At 56.0% G+C, this 14,576-nt stretch overlaps 2 protein-coding genes and 1 pseudogene across 2 annotated transcripts, besides 16 other annotated features; 2 read left to right on the top strand and 1 right to left on the bottom strand.

Annotated features, from left to right (window-relative positions):
• On the bottom strand, positions 70–736 carry MRPS24P1 (mitochondrial ribosomal protein S24 pseudogene 1; annotated as a pseudogene).
• Positions 2,183–2,694: an enhancer, noted in NCBI's record as "OCT4-NANOG-H3K27ac hESC enhancer chr11:305823-306334 (GRCh37/hg19 assembly coordinates)". NCBI's record gives its function as "activates a minimal SCP1, AML or CMV promoter by ChIP-STARR-seq in naive H9 embryonic stem cells {active_cell/tissue: H9 hESC(naive)}" and the evidence as "EXISTENCE:reporter gene assay evidence [ECO:0000049][PMID:30033119]".
• IFITM2 (interferon induced transmembrane protein 2) lies at positions 4,176–5,755 on the top strand. Its single transcript, NM_006435.3, has 2 exons — positions 4,176–4,798; positions 5,373–5,755. The coding sequence occupies exons 1-2, from the start codon at positions 4,553–4,555 to the stop codon at positions 5,523–5,525; spliced, it is 399 nt and encodes a 132-aa protein (NP_006426.2). The 5' UTR covers positions 4,176–4,552; the 3' UTR covers positions 5,526–5,755.
• Positions 4,417–4,836: an enhancer, noted in NCBI's record as "active region_4260". NCBI's record gives its function as "activates an Ori minimal core promoter by ATAC-STARR-seq in GM12878 lymphoblastoid cells {active_cell/tissue: GM12878}" and the evidence as "EXISTENCE:reporter gene assay evidence [ECO:0000049][PMID:35858748]".
• Positions 5,217–5,336: an enhancer, noted in NCBI's record as "active region_4261". NCBI's record gives its function as "activates an Ori minimal core promoter by ATAC-STARR-seq in GM12878 lymphoblastoid cells {active_cell/tissue: GM12878}" and the evidence as "EXISTENCE:reporter gene assay evidence [ECO:0000049][PMID:35858748]".
• Positions 5,357–5,556: an enhancer, noted in NCBI's record as "active region_4262". NCBI's record gives its function as "activates an Ori minimal core promoter by ATAC-STARR-seq in GM12878 lymphoblastoid cells {active_cell/tissue: GM12878}" and the evidence as "EXISTENCE:reporter gene assay evidence [ECO:0000049][PMID:35858748]".
• Positions 7,910–8,515: an enhancer, noted in NCBI's record as "H3K27ac-H3K4me1 hESC enhancer chr11:311550-312155 (GRCh37/hg19 assembly coordinates)". NCBI's record gives its function as "activates a minimal SCP1, AML or CMV promoter by ChIP-STARR-seq in naive H9 embryonic stem cells {active_cell/tissue: H9 hESC(naive)}" and the evidence as "EXISTENCE:reporter gene assay evidence [ECO:0000049][PMID:30033119]".
• Positions 9,785–10,340: an enhancer, noted in NCBI's record as "NANOG-H3K27ac-H3K4me1 hESC enhancer chr11:313425-313980 (GRCh37/hg19 assembly coordinates)". NCBI's record gives its function as "activates a minimal SCP1, AML or CMV promoter by ChIP-STARR-seq in naive H9 embryonic stem cells {active_cell/tissue: H9 hESC(naive)}" and the evidence as "EXISTENCE:reporter gene assay evidence [ECO:0000049][PMID:30033119]".
• Positions 10,341–10,896: an enhancer, noted in NCBI's record as "NANOG-H3K27ac-H3K4me1 hESC enhancer chr11:313981-314536 (GRCh37/hg19 assembly coordinates)". NCBI's record gives its function as "activates a minimal SCP1, AML or CMV promoter by ChIP-STARR-seq in naive H9 embryonic stem cells {active_cell/tissue: H9 hESC(naive)}" and the evidence as "EXISTENCE:reporter gene assay evidence [ECO:0000049][PMID:30033119]".
• Positions 10,364–10,703: an enhancer, noted in NCBI's record as "active region_4263". NCBI's record gives its function as "activates an Ori minimal core promoter by ATAC-STARR-seq in GM12878 lymphoblastoid cells {active_cell/tissue: GM12878}" and the evidence as "EXISTENCE:reporter gene assay evidence [ECO:0000049][PMID:35858748]".
• IFITM1 (interferon induced transmembrane protein 1) lies at positions 10,400–11,632 on the top strand. The gene is made up of 2 exons (NM_003641.5): positions 10,400–10,716; positions 11,282–11,632. Exons 1-2 carry the CDS (start codon positions 10,531–10,533, stop codon positions 11,471–11,473), a joined length of 378 nt encoding a protein of 125 aa, NP_003632.4. The 5' UTR covers positions 10,400–10,530; the 3' UTR covers positions 11,474–11,632.
• Positions 11,234–11,393: an enhancer, noted in NCBI's record as "active region_4264". NCBI's record gives its function as "activates an Ori minimal core promoter by ATAC-STARR-seq in GM12878 lymphoblastoid cells {active_cell/tissue: GM12878}" and the evidence as "EXISTENCE:reporter gene assay evidence [ECO:0000049][PMID:35858748]".
• Positions 11,664–11,753: an enhancer, noted in NCBI's record as "active region_4265". NCBI's record gives its function as "activates an Ori minimal core promoter by ATAC-STARR-seq in GM12878 lymphoblastoid cells {active_cell/tissue: GM12878}" and the evidence as "EXISTENCE:reporter gene assay evidence [ECO:0000049][PMID:35858748]".
• Positions 12,024–12,073: a silencer, noted in NCBI's record as "silent region_2994". NCBI's record gives its function as "represses an Ori minimal core promoter by ATAC-STARR-seq in GM12878 lymphoblastoid cells {active_cell/tissue: GM12878}" and the evidence as "EXISTENCE:reporter gene assay evidence [ECO:0000049][PMID:35858748]".
• Positions 12,314–12,473: a silencer, noted in NCBI's record as "silent region_2995". NCBI's record gives its function as "represses an Ori minimal core promoter by ATAC-STARR-seq in GM12878 lymphoblastoid cells {active_cell/tissue: GM12878}" and the evidence as "EXISTENCE:reporter gene assay evidence [ECO:0000049][PMID:35858748]".
• Positions 12,664–12,713: a silencer, noted in NCBI's record as "silent region_2996". NCBI's record gives its function as "represses an Ori minimal core promoter by ATAC-STARR-seq in GM12878 lymphoblastoid cells {active_cell/tissue: GM12878}" and the evidence as "EXISTENCE:reporter gene assay evidence [ECO:0000049][PMID:35858748]".
• Positions 12,924–12,973: an enhancer, noted in NCBI's record as "active region_4266". NCBI's record gives its function as "activates an Ori minimal core promoter by ATAC-STARR-seq in GM12878 lymphoblastoid cells {active_cell/tissue: GM12878}" and the evidence as "EXISTENCE:reporter gene assay evidence [ECO:0000049][PMID:35858748]".
• Positions 13,121–13,676: an enhancer, noted in NCBI's record as "NANOG-H3K27ac-H3K4me1 hESC enhancer chr11:316761-317316 (GRCh37/hg19 assembly coordinates)". NCBI's record gives its function as "activates a minimal SCP1, AML or CMV promoter by ChIP-STARR-seq in naive H9 embryonic stem cells {active_cell/tissue: H9 hESC(naive)}" and the evidence as "EXISTENCE:reporter gene assay evidence [ECO:0000049][PMID:30033119]".
• Positions 14,021–14,380: an enhancer, noted in NCBI's record as "active region_4267". NCBI's record gives its function as "activates an Ori minimal core promoter by ATAC-STARR-seq in GM12878 lymphoblastoid cells {active_cell/tissue: GM12878}" and the evidence as "EXISTENCE:reporter gene assay evidence [ECO:0000049][PMID:35858748]".

The raw sequence follows: 14,576 nt of genomic DNA on the forward strand, positions 1-14,576 counted from the left end.
TCATGAAGATTCTTGCAAGAAGGTGACGATTTCTCAGAACTGAGGTGCCTTGCATTTTTTTTTTCAAGACAACATAGAGGGTCTTTATTGGATAGCAGCTGAGAGACCATGCCTCAGTCCTCTTGAGGGACGCCTTTCCCCCCGGCGTACCACTTCTTTCCCACGTTTCCCTTCTCTGCAGGCTACAGCTTGATGCAAAAGAAAGGGATCGTCCTACAGGTCCTTATACACAACCTTTGAGGGCACAGTTTGGAGGTGGAGTGGCAGAGGACATTTGTAAAAGTGGGACAGCAAAGTTTCACTGTAGCCCACGAGGAAGTAGAACTTGCGGGCAGGCAAGTGCCTCGGGACCAGGGCACAGATCTCCAACCGGTTGGCCCAGCACTGTAAAACCAGCGGGTCAGCCAGGCAGCCCGGGAAGGCACCCCACATGAACTTGCGACGGAAAGCATCCTCCACCGTTCGCTCCGCCGCATGGTCCTCCCCACCAGGGTTCCCCGCGTGAGCGACCTCTGGCCCTCACGGCGGGCGACGAAGTGCGGCGCGTGTGCGTCCTCATAGGTCACCGGCTTGTCCCCCTGGCCTCGGCGGACTCGGGCCGCCGGTTCTTGTTACAGACCGCGGAGGTGTGCGGGGCCCGCCCCGCGCAAGGCAGCTCTCGGCCCCGGGACGGCACCCGGGGCCACCCGCCACCCGCCACCCGCCGCACGCGGAGGCCGCCATCTTGGCCGAGCGCCCGCCATGTTTACAGCAGATCTGTGTGTTCCTGGAAGTGTCGCGGTGCGGGTGGGTGTGGGCCGAGTACGTTCCTATGAGGAGGTCCTAGGGGACGCATAGGTCGCATTCAGCGCCGTGGTGGCTCTGGTCTGTCTTAGCCAGCTTGGCCCACACTGCTTTTGAAGGTCTCATCGGCCCCTCGCTTCTGCAGCAACCTCAACAGTCTCTTTTGCTAGTCATGCGAGGCTGCTGCTTAGAATGTTCTGTTCTCCCGCAGCCGCTCCATATTATTCTGTCTCATTTTGTGGATTTAAAGATTTTCTGATGGGCAGCTGGCTTAAAGAGTTCAGCTTTGGGGCCGGGCGCGGTGGCTCCCGCCTGTAATCCCAGCACTTTGGGAGGCCGAGGTGGGTGGAGCACGAGGTCAGGAGATCGAGACCATCCTGGCTAACACGGTGAAACCCCGTCTCTACTAAAAATACAAAAAATTAGCAGGACTTGGTGGCGGGCGCCTGTAGTCCCAGCTACTCGGGAGGCTGAGGCAGGAGAATGGCGTGAGCCCGGGAGGTGGAGGTTGCAGTGAGCCGAGATCGCGCCACTGCAGTCCGGCCTGGTTGACAGAGCGAGACTCCGTTTCCAAAAAAAAAAAAAAAAAAAAAAAAAAAGTTCAGCTTTGCCTAAAGAGTTGGTTAGTCGAAAGAAATTCTTGAGTTTACATAACCGGGGCTGTGGAAGCCAAGGGGCTTGTTATGCAGATGAGGCCTCCAGGTGGCAGGCTGGAGACAAGGATGATAAAAAAAATCTCTCTTTTCCACCCTTAAAAAGGGCTCTTAGTTAAATGTCTGTTCTATAGGAAAAGACCTAGAAAGGGAAGGAGATTCTCTCCAGAATGCAAATTTCCCTAATAAGAGACAGTTGTGCAAGGCCATTTCAAAATATGCCAAATAAATATATTTTGAGGCTGTGCATGGTGGCTCACACCAGCACTTTGGGAGGATGAGGCAGGTGGATCACTTGAGCCCAGGAGCTGGAGACCAGTCTGGGCAACACAGTAAGGCCCCGTCTCAAAAATAAAAATACATATATTTTGGGGGTAAATAATTTTTATTTCCTTCAGAGCCTGCTATTTGTTGTGAAAGGAAAATAAATATTAGGACCCCGAAATCACTGAACCAAAAGGAGACGTCAAGCTGGGAACTGCTTAGGGACACCTGCCTCCCGTTCTACTCCTAAAAACGGCTGCTGCCGAAACAAAAAGCTATATACCTCCCTCACAGTTTGTCCACAGGGAATTTCCTTGTGGACAAAAGACAAATGGAACTCAAACTTACCCTTTTGCTCGCTGAGATAATGCATATCTGATTGCTTCCTTTGCAAAGGCTCATCAGAAACTCAAAACAATGCGATCCTTTGTCTCTTCTCAACCTATGACCTGGAAGCCCCCTCCCCACTTCGAGTTGTCCCGTCTTTCCAGACTGCACTAATGAGCGTCGTGCATATATTGATGTCCATGTCTCCCTGAAATGTATAAAACCAGCTGTGCCCCGATCATCTTGCGCACCCTGTCAGGACCTCCTGAGGCTGTGTCACCCGCTCATCCTTAACCTTGGTCCTAAATCGACTGAGAACTTTCTCAGATATTTAGGGTTTACACTGTCATGTGACGCTGTACCACAGTCAGTTGGAATTTGGTACCTTATTGCTACGAAGAGTCTGTTTTGTCAGTACTATGAGCTCCATCTCAGTGTTAATGCTGGTCGGTTGTGCCTAAACTCCACAGGGAGGGGATATAAGTAGGCCTGTCCAACCTCCCTGTCCCTTCGAGGCTGTGAATTCAGTTTTTCAGGTTTGTTTGGGACCCCCTTGGCCAAGGGAGCTCCATTCAGTCATGGGGGCAGGGGAGGCTTAGATTTTTATTTTTGGTTTTCAGTCAGCACTCCAGTCCAGTCAGGAGGGCTTCAGACCACGAAGAGGGGAGGTGTCCCCACGGCAGAGCTAGACACAGATCCCAGGACATTCTGTGTGTGGGGGAGACATGGCCCAGAATAGAAGGCCTGTAGAGGCCTGGACATGGCTAAGCCCTTAGAGCTCACCCCAGCCAGCAGAAGGAGGAGGACTTAGGGTGTTCGACGTCGAGAAGCACTGTGAGTCGATGGTAGACACAGCCATTGTTAAAGTTAAATCTTAGGAATCTTAGAAATTATCAATAAAATTTATCTTATAGAGCCAAAGTCATCGTTACTCAAACACATCACTCTGCAGTTACACGGCTGCACGCTACCGTCATGTAAACTCTGGAATACTGACGTGGACCTGACCACCCGCTGAGGTGAAAGGCTACAGCAGGGTGAGCAGCTGCCCATCTCTGTAAATTCCACCCTCAGCGATGTCCTCTGCGGAGTCTGGCCTGGTGGGAGAATAAGCCCAGGAAAATGGGCCCATGTAGCACATCAGGAATTAAACAGGGCGCAGGTCGCGGTGCACATAGGCCTGCAGGCCACGTTCCTGCCCCTGTGACCCGCACTGTCCCCTCTGACAAGCTCAAGTGCACAGCATCAGCTCTGTTTGCTGCAATAGCCTCTGCCAAGGAAGGTCCAGGAAGAAGCCCAGAGGCCACACAAGGTGTTTCCACAGGGAGGCTGTAACCTCAGGAGCTGCTCAGAGGCAGCACCGGTTCATGGGAAAAACAGGCGGCAACTACAGGAAGCAGCTGGCACCCGTGTGAGGACCCAGGGAAGAGGCAGAGATGATCAGAACCTGGAAATCTGGAGGGTGCCCCAGGGACCAGCCAGCCAGAGCTCTGGGCAGCGTGGGTGCTGCTGGGCTGTGTGGAGCGGGTCTGGGAGCCGTCACCCAGGTGGGCCTCCAGGGGAAAGGGCCATGGCTTCTAACTCCACCGTCCAGGTCTCTGCTATTGGCATCCCACAGCCCCCTCTTCTGTCAGTGCTCCCAGAGTCCCCTTTCCTGGGCCTGGAGGGCTCCTTTGGGGCAGGCAACATTGGCCGCCAACCCTCTGACCTGCACCAGGAGACACGGGGACCTTTAACCCCCAAACCCGCATGGAGCAGGACTGCAACCCCAGCAAAGGACAAGGGATGTCAGCAGATGAGGCCTGTGACAAGTGAGATGAGGGCTTTTTTTTTTTTTTGAGACGGAGTCTGGCTCTGTTGCCCAGGCTGGAGTGCAGTGGCACAACCTTGGCTCACTGCAAGCTCCGCCTCCCCGGTTCACGCCATTCTCCTACCTCAGCCTCCCAAGTAGCTGGGACTACAGGTGCCCGCCATCACACCCGGCTAATTTTTTTTTGTATATTTAGTAGAGACGGGGTTTCACCGTGTTAGCCAGGATGGTCTCGATCTCCTGACCTCATGATCCTCCCACCTCAGCCTCCCAAAGTGCTGGGATTACAGGCGTGAGCCACGGCGCCCGGCAGAGGTGAGGGCTTTGGGGAAACGGTTGTGGGGCCTGGAGTGTGGAGGCGTCAGCGCAGGCCTGGCAGGAGCCCTGAACCGGGACAGTGAGGTCCTGCAGCTGCTGGCCTGGGGTGTGGAGACTCCCAACACAGGGGAAGTCTCCAGGACCCCACACCACTAACAAGATGAGACTTGTGCTCCTTTGGGCTCTAGAGAGGAAGCCCCTCTTAGCCCTCAGCCCCTCTTTCCTCCCTCTCCTAAAGTAATTTGATCCTCAGGAATTTGTTCTGCCCTTATCTGGCCCTGGCCAGCTCTGCATTTGACAAATGCCAGGAAGAGGAAACTGTTGAGAAAACGGAACTACTGGGGAAAGGGAGGGCTCACTGAGAACCATCCCGGTAACCCGATCACCGCTGGTCACCATGAACCACATTGTGCAAACCTTCTCTCCTGTCAACAGCGGCCAGCCTCCCAACTACGAGATGCTCAAGGAGGAGCAGGAAGTGGCTATGCTGGGGGTGCCCCACAACCCTGCTCCCCCGATGTCCACCGTGATCCACATCCGCAGCGAGACCTCCGTGCCTGACCATGTGGTCTGGTCCCTGTTCAACACCCTCTTCATGAACACCTGCTGCCTGGGCTTCATAGCATTCGCGTACTCCGTGAAGGTGCGTATGGCCCTGGCGGAAATCCAGGGGGTGCCGGTGAGCCTGGGGCTCCACCTGCCCACATGCTGCCTGGGGTGGGGACTTGTGTGTCCCTGTGACTGTGAGTTTGTGTGCACGTCTGTCCTGTGTGTGCCCACGTCAGTGGCTTTGTCTGTGTGATCTGTGTGTGTGTGTGGCTTGGGGAATCTGCCCAGTGCAGGTCTAGGAGGAGGCTCCAGGAGGCTGGCTGGCTGGCTCAGAGTCTGTCCCCGGCTATCCACTAGCCCAGAGCAGTTCTCCCTATAGCCCAGTAAGAAATTACACCTTCACCTTCCAGACTGGCACCCAGGCTCTCCCAGAAAGTGAGAAGGGAACTCACAGGTGACTTCACCCCATGGTGGGGAGAACAGCCTGTGCTGGGGCCAAGGCAGAAGGAGGATGAGCCCCGAGGCTCCTGGAGAGTCTGAGCCGGGTGAGGAAGGGGAGGAGGTGGTCCCTGATCTCAGGGCAGGGAGGAGACAGTGAGGAGCTGGAGCCATAGCACGCGGCTCTCAGCTGGGGGATCCTGGTCCCCTCACCATCTCCTCTCCCCCAGTCTAGGGACAGGAAGATGGTTGGCGACGTGACCGGGGCCCAGGCCTATGCCTCCACCGCCAAGTGCCTGAACATCTGGGCCCTGATTTTGGGCATCTTCATGACCATTCTGCTCATCATCATCCCAGTGTTGGTCGTCCAGGCCCAGCGATAGATCAGGAGGCATCATTGAGGCCAGGAGCTCTGCCCGTGACCTGTATCCCACGTACTCTATCTTCCATTCCTCGCCCTGCCCCCAGAGGCCAGGAGCTCTGCCCTTGACCTGTATTCCACTTACTCCACCTTCCATTCCTCGCCCTGTCCCCACAGCCGAGTCCTGCATCAGCCCTTTATCCTCACACGCTTTTCTACAATGGCATTCAATAAAGTGTATATGTTTCTGGTGCTGCTGTGACTTCACCTGGGGAGCGGTCCTGCTGGTTCTGAGATTAAATGTAATGCCAAACGTTCTTGCCTTAGCCACACCAAAGAATTGGGTGTGGCGGCTGCCCGCGGCGAGTGATGGAGACACAGACCAAGAGAAGAAAAAAACTGTAGGTTTTATTGAGCAGAGTGACAGTACAAAGCTTACACAGCATGGAAGGGGTCCGGAGAGGGTAGCCACTGTTGGTTTTGGGTGATTGCCTTTTAATCTCTTTAAGGCGGGAAATACATGTGGTGGGAAGATGTTACCAGAGAGAGAAACAAAGGCAGTAAATTATTTTGTGACATGTCTTAGATTTTGAGGAAAAACAGAATTGCAACTTAGGTTTTATCTAATTTTATCTACTTTATGACCTTGCAGCAGCATGGCAAAAGAGACAGGATTTTACAGGACTTTACAAAGTATGTTCACAAGGAATTGGAATTGGGAGCATAGATAAGGTCCGCTGGTCACAGAAAAAGGGTCTTTTAACATTCCTTTTAGTTTTAGGGGAGGGGGAAGGAAGAGAGGGAGAGAGGACACAGGGAAGCTTACAGCAGAATTTTTGCTGTTTATAGCTTTCTTGGGGAAGGAAACACATGCACAAATCCTGGTGTTAGGAATATTTTAGGCATGTATCTTCAGTACTCTTCATCCAGGACCGAAGTAAGTCCTGATGCAGGAAATGAGTGTTTCACAGCTTTCTGAACCCCTACTCGACCCAGGAAGCCCAGCTGGACCCTCCTTTCATGAGCAGGTTGGTCAGCCCCTGCACTGCCCCTTCCAGCCTCTGTGCATCTCTTGGGGACGGGGCAAGTGCTCAGGCCTTCTGGTTTCGGGCCTCCTGCCGTGAGCAGCAGCTGGATCCAGGACCCTGGGAGGAGTTCCTGTGTCCTGCAGGTCTCAGCTCCTACTCAACGTGGGCTCTTTCCGGGAACGTCAGTGCTGAGTCCGGGACACCCTGGGCCCAAGGCCACGCTCGCGGCCTGTCGGCAATCCAGGCTGTCGGCTCAGGACAGAGGGAAGGGTTAAGCCCCCAGCAGGGCCAGGGAGGGGCAAGGTGGCACCGGCTCCCCAGCTGCTCCCAGGCCCTGCTCTGTGGTGCTGGGGACCTGGCTTTAGTTCCTCGGGGGTGGAGGGGGCACCGCGCTGCCTGCCTCCGAGCTGTCTGGAGCAGCCAGTCCTGCAGATGTGGGCAGCTCAGGGCCCGTGGGAGGGAGGGGGCTTTGTGCCCAGGGCAGCAGCTGAAGGAGCCCCGGGCCTCGCAGCCCCTCCTGGGTGACCAGGTGCTGCTTCGTGGCAGCTGCCCCCTCCCGTCCAGCGGGTATGGGCCCTGCTCCCCCGTGGTGGGGGCGGCGCAGGAGAGTGGAGCGACCCTCATCTAAGTTACCTCTACCCGGGTCTGAGCCCCCGGACAGACACCCCCGCCCCGACCTGGTTACAGCGCCCTTCCCCGGTTCGGTCTCCGGTGTGCGCATGTGGGGTGCCCCATGGGCGGCCGCGGTGGGAGCTGGGGTGGCCATGCGCGCCCCCGCCCCGCCGTCCACCCGCGACTCCAGGTCTGGATCTACTCGCCCTCCCCACCCTTTCCCGCCCCCAGCCCCGGAGCCGCGCTCTCACCCCAGGGGCGGCAAGGGCGATGGACGCGGAGGAAGCGCCCTCTCCCCCTCGGGGGTCTCCCGGAGGCGAGTCCCGAAGGGGGCGAACTCCGAAGTGGGTCCCGGGTGGGAGGCGCGCGGCCCCGCCCGGCGGGGAGGGGGAAGCGGCGGAGGCGGGTGCTCAGCGGCGCCCCTGGCGGCGGCCGGCGCAGGTGCAGGTCCCGGAGGAGGCTCCGCCCGCAGCCCAGACCCCCGCGGGGTGGGCGGGACGCGGACCCTGAGACCCGCAGCGCCGGACCCGGACGGGAGCCCCTCTCCTCCCCCTCGGGCACGTCCCCGGCCGAGCCTTCCCGCCCTCCTCTGGGGCTCCCACCTCCCCTTCACCCGCGGGGGACCCGATTTCCGCGTCTCCTGGGCCCCTCCCTGGGCAGGGGGTCCAGCCGGAATCCAGGAGTGACCTGCTGGAGGACTTGGTGGCCAGGGAGTCACCCTGGGAGCCCGGTCCTGTGACCCCTTAATGGATTCTCTGCGCTCCTGGGCGGGCCCCTTGGTCGCATCGGGGCAGGGGAATCGCAATAAGGAAAGTGTAATTCACGCAGAGCCGGCTGCGGGGGAGACGGGAGTTTTATTATTACTCAAATCCTTCTCCCCAAAAACGTGGGGATCCGAGTTTCGAAGGATGATATGGTGGGTAGGCGGCCAGTGAGTCAGGAGCGCTGACCGGTCCGGTTGGAGATGAAGTCTTGGGGAGTCGAAGCTGTCTTCCCAACCCTAACCCAGCTCCTCGGTGGGGGCCACAGGACCACATGAGCAAGATTGTGGATTTAGGTGGTGCCAGCTGATCCATTGAGTACAGGGTCTGTAAAGTATCTCAAACTCTGATCCTAGGTTCTACAGTAGTGCTGTGATCCCCGGGAGCAATTTAGGGGTGGCGGGGTCAGAATCTTGCATCCTCCAGCCGCGTGACTCCTAAACCATAATTTCTAATCTTGTGGCTAATTTGTTAGTCCTGCAAAGGCAGTCTGGTCCTCAGGTAGGAAGGGGGCTTGTTCAGCCTTGATCTATAAACTGTTTCTCTCCAGATTAGTTTAGGCTAAGCCCAGGGATGAGCAAGGGCAGCTTGGAGGTTAGAAGCCAGGCGGAGTGGGTTAGGGTCAGACCTCCTTCACTGTCATCATATTCTCAGTTATGACTTTTGCAAAGGTGGTTTCAGTTCCATGCCTGCCCCTCAGAATCCTGTCTCCCTCTTGTGCCCTGCAGTTTCTTCCTTCCTAAACTGCCCGTGATTTAAAGAAGCTTCCAAAATACCTTCCACGGGAAATTCAAGCCCCACCCCACTCCGCAGTGATGTGTGGCCTTTGATAGGAGGTCACAGAGCCTTGTGAGGAGTTTGTGTAGGCAGTCCTCGATGTCTCAGAGCACGCTCCATCCACATCCACCCCTGGCTTGCCGGGACCCAGACATAGTTTGGTCTAAGTGGCCTGGGATGTGGCTGGGGCTGGAGGCGGCCTGTTGAGGGGTGGGTGGAGGGTGGGGGGGTTGGTGTGCGATTTGGGGAGGCCCAGCAGGGACTCCAAGCAAGGGCAAGGGCTAGTTCTTTTTTTTTTTTTTTAGCTGCAATGGGTAGGGAGGGGCTGATGGTTTTGGAGCTCGGTGTTTGAGATGTTAAGTCTGCTGATGCTCCTGGCCGAATAAAGGCCAAATAAAGCCCTTTCTTTCCTCAACTCGATGTCTGAGGGTTTTGTCTGTGGCTCGTCCTGCTACAATTTCTAACGTTACCAGTAATTTTAAAGCTAGCTTATTAAAGATTCTACTTAAGTCACATGAACGTGAAAAGCATTTAGGCTTATTATTTAATTTATGAGTACTCTTTAAGTTTAAGCTAAATTTGGTAACTTGTGGCCAAAAACACATAACGAAATATGTGTATGTGCACATATACACACATACACACTCAAGCAAAAGTATGGTTTTACTTCAGAACTCCAGCCATGAGATAGTAATACAAATTCATTGGTTTACACAAACAATAAAAAGAAATGGTTGGATGCAAACAGTGGATTTTATCTCTGTAGAAAAGTAACAGCAGACTTAAAGCAGGCAGAAACGAAAGCAGAAAGAGAACTTAAGAACATTACATTAATAATTGCAGGCCCACCTTTGGGCTCTGATTTTTCCTTTATGTAATTTGCAATTTGTAATTCATGATCCTTGTGCCTGAGGGCTCCCTTCTGCTACTCAGTCTACAATTCCCCGTCCCTGTGAAGGGGCACCCAGGCCTGACAGCCCCAGACTTGGCTTTGCCAACCCTCCAGGTCTCTCCTGCATGGCTAGGACCCAACGCCTAGGTCATCCAGCACTCACCCCAACCAAAGCCATGGGAATTGCTGGGACCCGGAAGGTAGGGGGTGGCACATGTGTGCCCTGTGCTCTGAAGCTGCCCCTACAGGCCCTGGAATCCTCCCCGTGTCTCAACACACTACCCTCTGGGGAGTCAGTTCTCCCCAGAGTCCCCGTTCCTGGGCCTGGAGGGCTGCTTTGGGGCAGGAAACTTTGGCCACCAGGCCTCTGACCTGCACCAGGAGACACTGGGAGGTTTAGTCCCCAAACCCGCACAGAGCAGGACTGCAGCCTGAGGAAAGAGCAAGGATTTCAGGAGAGAGGCCTGCGACAAGTGAGGTGAGGGCTTTTGGGGGATTGTCCTGGCGCCTGGAGTGTGGGGGCCTGGCAGGGGCCCTGAACCGGGACAGTGAGGTCCTGTACTTGCTGGCCTGGGGTGGACAGAACCCAAGCCTGGGTAAAATCCCCAGGGCCCCCTAAACCCAACACTTAGGAAGTCACTAGTCCTGACTTGAGTTTCTGATGAGGAAGCCTCTCTCCTTAGCCTTCAGCCTTTCCTCCCACCCTGCCATAAAGTAATTTGATCCTCAAGAAGTTAAACCACACCTCATTGGTCCCTGGCTAATTCACCAATTTACAAACAGCAGGAAATAGAAACTTAAGAGAAATACACACTTCTGAGAAACTGAAACGACAGGGGAAAGGAGGTCTCACTGAGCACCGTCCCAGCATCCGGACACCACAGCGGCCCTTCGCTCCACGCAGAAAACCACACTTCTCAAACCTTCACTCAACACTTCCTTCCCCAAAGCCAGAAGATGCACAAGGAGGAACATGAGGTGGCTGTGCTGGGGCCACCCCCCAGCACCATCCTTCCAAGGTCCACCGTGATCAACATCCACAGCGAGACCTCCGTGCCCGACCATGTCGTCTGGTCCCTGTTCAACACCCTCTTCTTGAACTGGTGCTGTCTGGGCTTCATAGCATTCGCCTACTCCGTGAAGGTGCGTATGGCCCTGGCGGAAATCCAGGGGGTGCCGGTGAGCCTGGGGCTCCACCTGCCCACATGCTGCCTGGGGTGGGGACTTGTGTGTCCCTGTGACTGTGAGTTTGTGTGCACCTCTGCCCCGTGTGTGCTCACGTCAGTAGCTTTGTCTGTGTGATCTGTGTGTGTGTGTGGCTTTGGGGAATCTGCCCAGTGCAGGTCTAGGAGGAGGCTCCAGGAGGCTGGCTGGCTGGCTCAGAGTCTGTCCCTGGCTATCCATTAGCCCAGAGCAATTCTCCCTATAGCCCAGTAAGAAATTACACCCTCACCTTCCAGACTGGCACCCAGGCTCTCCCAGAAAGTGAGAAGGGAACTCACAGGTGACTTCACCCCATGGTGGGGAGAACAGCCTGTGCTGGGGCCAAGGCAGAAGGAGGATGAGCCCCGAGGCTCCTGGAGAGTCTGAGCCCGGGTGAGGAAGGGGAGGAGGTGGTCCCTGATCTCAGGGCGGGGAGGAGACGGAGCCATAGCACGCGGCTCTCAGCTGGGGGATCCTGGTCCCCTCACCATCTCCTCTCCCCCAGTCTAGGGACAGGAAGATGGTTGGCGACGTGACCGGGGCCCAGGCCTATGCCTCCACCGCCAAGTGCCTGAACATCTGGGCCCTGATTCTGGGCATCCTCATGACCATTGGATTCATCCTGTTACTGGTATTCGGCTCTGTGACAGTCTACCATATTATGTTACAGATAATACAGGAAAAACGGGGTTACTAGTAGCCGCCCATAGCCTGCAACCTTTGCACTCCACTGTGCAATGCTGGCCCTGCACGCTGGGGCTGTTGCCCCTGCCCCCTTGGTCCTGCCCCTAGATACAGCAGTTTATACCCACACACCTGTCTACAGTGTCATTCAATAAAGTGCACGTGCTTGTGATGATGCTGTGACTTCATCTGGAGTGGGGGCCCTGCTGAGGGGTCCCGGCCTAGTCCTGAGACAGCCCAGTGCTCAGCCCCTGCACAGCCGTATCCCTCCTCTGTGAAGCTCTCAGGGGAGCAGGGATATGCTCAGAATCTGCTGGTTTCCGCCTCCTGCTGTGGGCAGCATCTGGACCAGGAACGTGGGGTGGGCATTTCTCTGACACCAAGGTAAGGACACACTGTCCAGAATACCTTTGGGCCAGGACAACCTGCCTCTGAGCTGGCTGGGCAGCTGGTCTTGCAGATGTGTGCACCTTAGGCCCTGTGGGAGGGGCAGGGGCTTTGTTCCTAGGGTAGCAGCTGAAGGAACCTCAGGGCTGCAGCCTCTCCTGGGTGATCCAGGTGTGCTGGATCCTAGCAGCTGCCTCCTCCAGTCCAGCCGGCATCTTCCCTGCTCCCCTGGGGTGGGGGCAGCCAATGGCCCGAGGGTGGGGCGCTCGCGAGGGCCTGGGAGGGCAGCTTCCGACCGGGAGCCCCGCGGGAGCTCGGGAAGAGGGTCCCGCCAGGTGGAGACCCCTCTGGTGCAGCCAGCGAGGGCCCCGGGATCCCGCAGTCTTGAAATGTGACGGGAAGTCCGAGGCATCACGAAGTCGGAGACGCAGGGCGCGTCGTGGGTCCCGGGCGCCGAACGCCAGCTCGCCACGGCCCAGCAGCGCGGCCAGATCCCGGTCCCCACGGGCGTCGGGGGTGCGCGGGCCGCGGGGAGGTGAGAGGCGGGAGCCGAGAAGTTTCCCAGACGGCACCCGCGGGAGCAGAGCTGGTCGGCCTGGCCGCTCCTCGCCGCGGACTCCTCGGGTGCCCGTGGACAGCAGCCCGTGCCAGGCCCGCAGCGGCCTTGGGCCTCTCCTCCTCTGCAGGGGAGACTCCGGCCGCGGGCTCTGGAAAAGGGCAAGACCAGGCACGGCGCAGGTGCTCTCTGTCGGGAGAATGCGGCCACGCGCGGTGCGTTCACAGCGGGAGAAACCCTCCTGGGAGGGACGGGTAGGACGCCGAGCCCAAGGCGGGAGGCGCCGGAGGACACACGTGCCCTACGCGGGGTGCCGGGGGACCGGCCAGGCTGACCCCGGCGTGGACAAGTTTGCCTCCCAGAGGGCGGAGACTGAGAGGCGAAGGGACCGGCCGACTCTGGGTGCGGCGGGCGTCCCTCCCCACCGGGAGGGTGTGTGCTGCGGGCATCCCTTTGCAACCGCTGGAGGGGCCTTCCTGCCCGCGAGGACATTGCGGTAAAGAAAGGGTTTGGGAGGCGGAGGCTGCAGTGAGCCGAGATCCCGCCACGCGCCCTGTCCTGTGCGACAGAGAACTCTGCGTCTCAAAAAAAGGGGTTTAATAAACCCCTTCTGTCCTCGAGCTGAGTCGCCCCTCCCGGGTGGGGCCGCAGGAGCTGTCAGGTCCAAGGGGAGCCATGGGAGTCAGGCACGCAAGAAAAAGGGGGGGAATCTCAAAAGGCCAATCTTAAGCTCTAAATTATGTGGACGAAAAGAGTCGAACTCTGTAAAATATTTGAAGAGATTTATTCTAAGCCAAAATATGAGTGACCGTGGCTCGTGACACGGCCCTCAGGAGGTCTTGAGAACATGGGCCCAAGGTGGTCGGGGCCCAGCTTGGTTTTATATATTTTAGGAAGACATGAGGCATCAATGAAATACATTTAAGAAATACATTGAAAAAAAAATACATTGGTTTGGTCGGGAAAGGCGGGACAACACAAAGCTGGGGGGTGGGGGGGCGGCGCAGTGCCCCAGGCTACAGGTGAATTTAATCCTCTGGTTGACGATTGAGTCCTTGAGTTTGTCTAAAGACCTGGGATTGGTAGAAAGGGGGTGTTCAGGTTAAAATAAAGATTATGGAGACCAAAGTTCTTTTGAAGTCTTATAGTGGCTGCCCTTAGAGACAATAGATGACGAATGTTTCCTATTCCTAAAAGGTGCTAGACTGTTAATCTCTTCAGGATTGGGAGGGTCTGGAAGAAAAAGATTTAGCTATGTTAATAGAGATTCTTTACAGCTGCAAATTTCCCCCTACAAAGAACAGCTTTGCCGGGGCCATTTCAAAATATGGCAAAGAAACTTGTTTTGGGGCAAAATATTTTTATTTTCTTCCTCATATCGTAATGTTCTGCCAGGGCCAGGTTGGAAAGTAAGTCATGATATACGTGGTTAAATAAAACCCATCTGATGAGAATTTATGGTTTGTAGGGCATGACTCCCCAAGCCCCTTAGGTAGGAATTTGGGCAAGATAAAAAATCAGAGTTTAGTCCTCAATCATGATGAGCTGCTGAGTTTCACACAAGGCCTGTTGTCATTTAAACTATAGCCTAAATGTCTCTCAAAGTCAGCTTGGCCCCAAAAACCAGGAATAATTAAAGGAAAGGCAAGATTGTGGGTGGGCTAGCTCAGCTCACAGTTATAATAATTCTTCTCACTGATACTGTTACAGCAGGTAGCTCCTCCGGCTTGAGCAGGACAGGAGAGCGCTTCCCACCCACAACCAGGAATGTCAGGCGACCCCTCAGGTGATGGTCAGGTGGTTGTTGCACTGTTTCTCTAAAATAATAATTGGTAGCAACCAGCGCCAAGGAAAGGCAGTCTCCCAGTAGATAGAAAAAAACCTGAAACGTGGTCAGGTTTATCCACAATCTTGCTCATGTGGTCCTGTGGCCCCCACCGAGGAGCTGGGTTAGGGTTGGGAAGACAGCTTCGACTCCCCAAGACTTCATCTCCAACCGGACCGGTCAGCGCTCCTGACTCACTGGCCGCCTACCCACCATATCATCCTTCGAAACTCGGATCCCCACGTTTTTGGGGAGAAGGATTTGAGTAATAATAAAACTCCCGTCTCCCCCGCAGCCGGCTCTGCGTGAATTACACTTTCCTTATTGCGATTCCCCTGCCCCGATGCG

This window comes from Homo sapiens, chromosome 11, assembly GCF_000001405.40.
Source record: "Homo sapiens chromosome 11, GRCh38.p14 Primary Assembly".
NCBI lineage: Eukaryota > Metazoa > Chordata > Mammalia > Primates > Hominidae > Homo > Homo sapiens.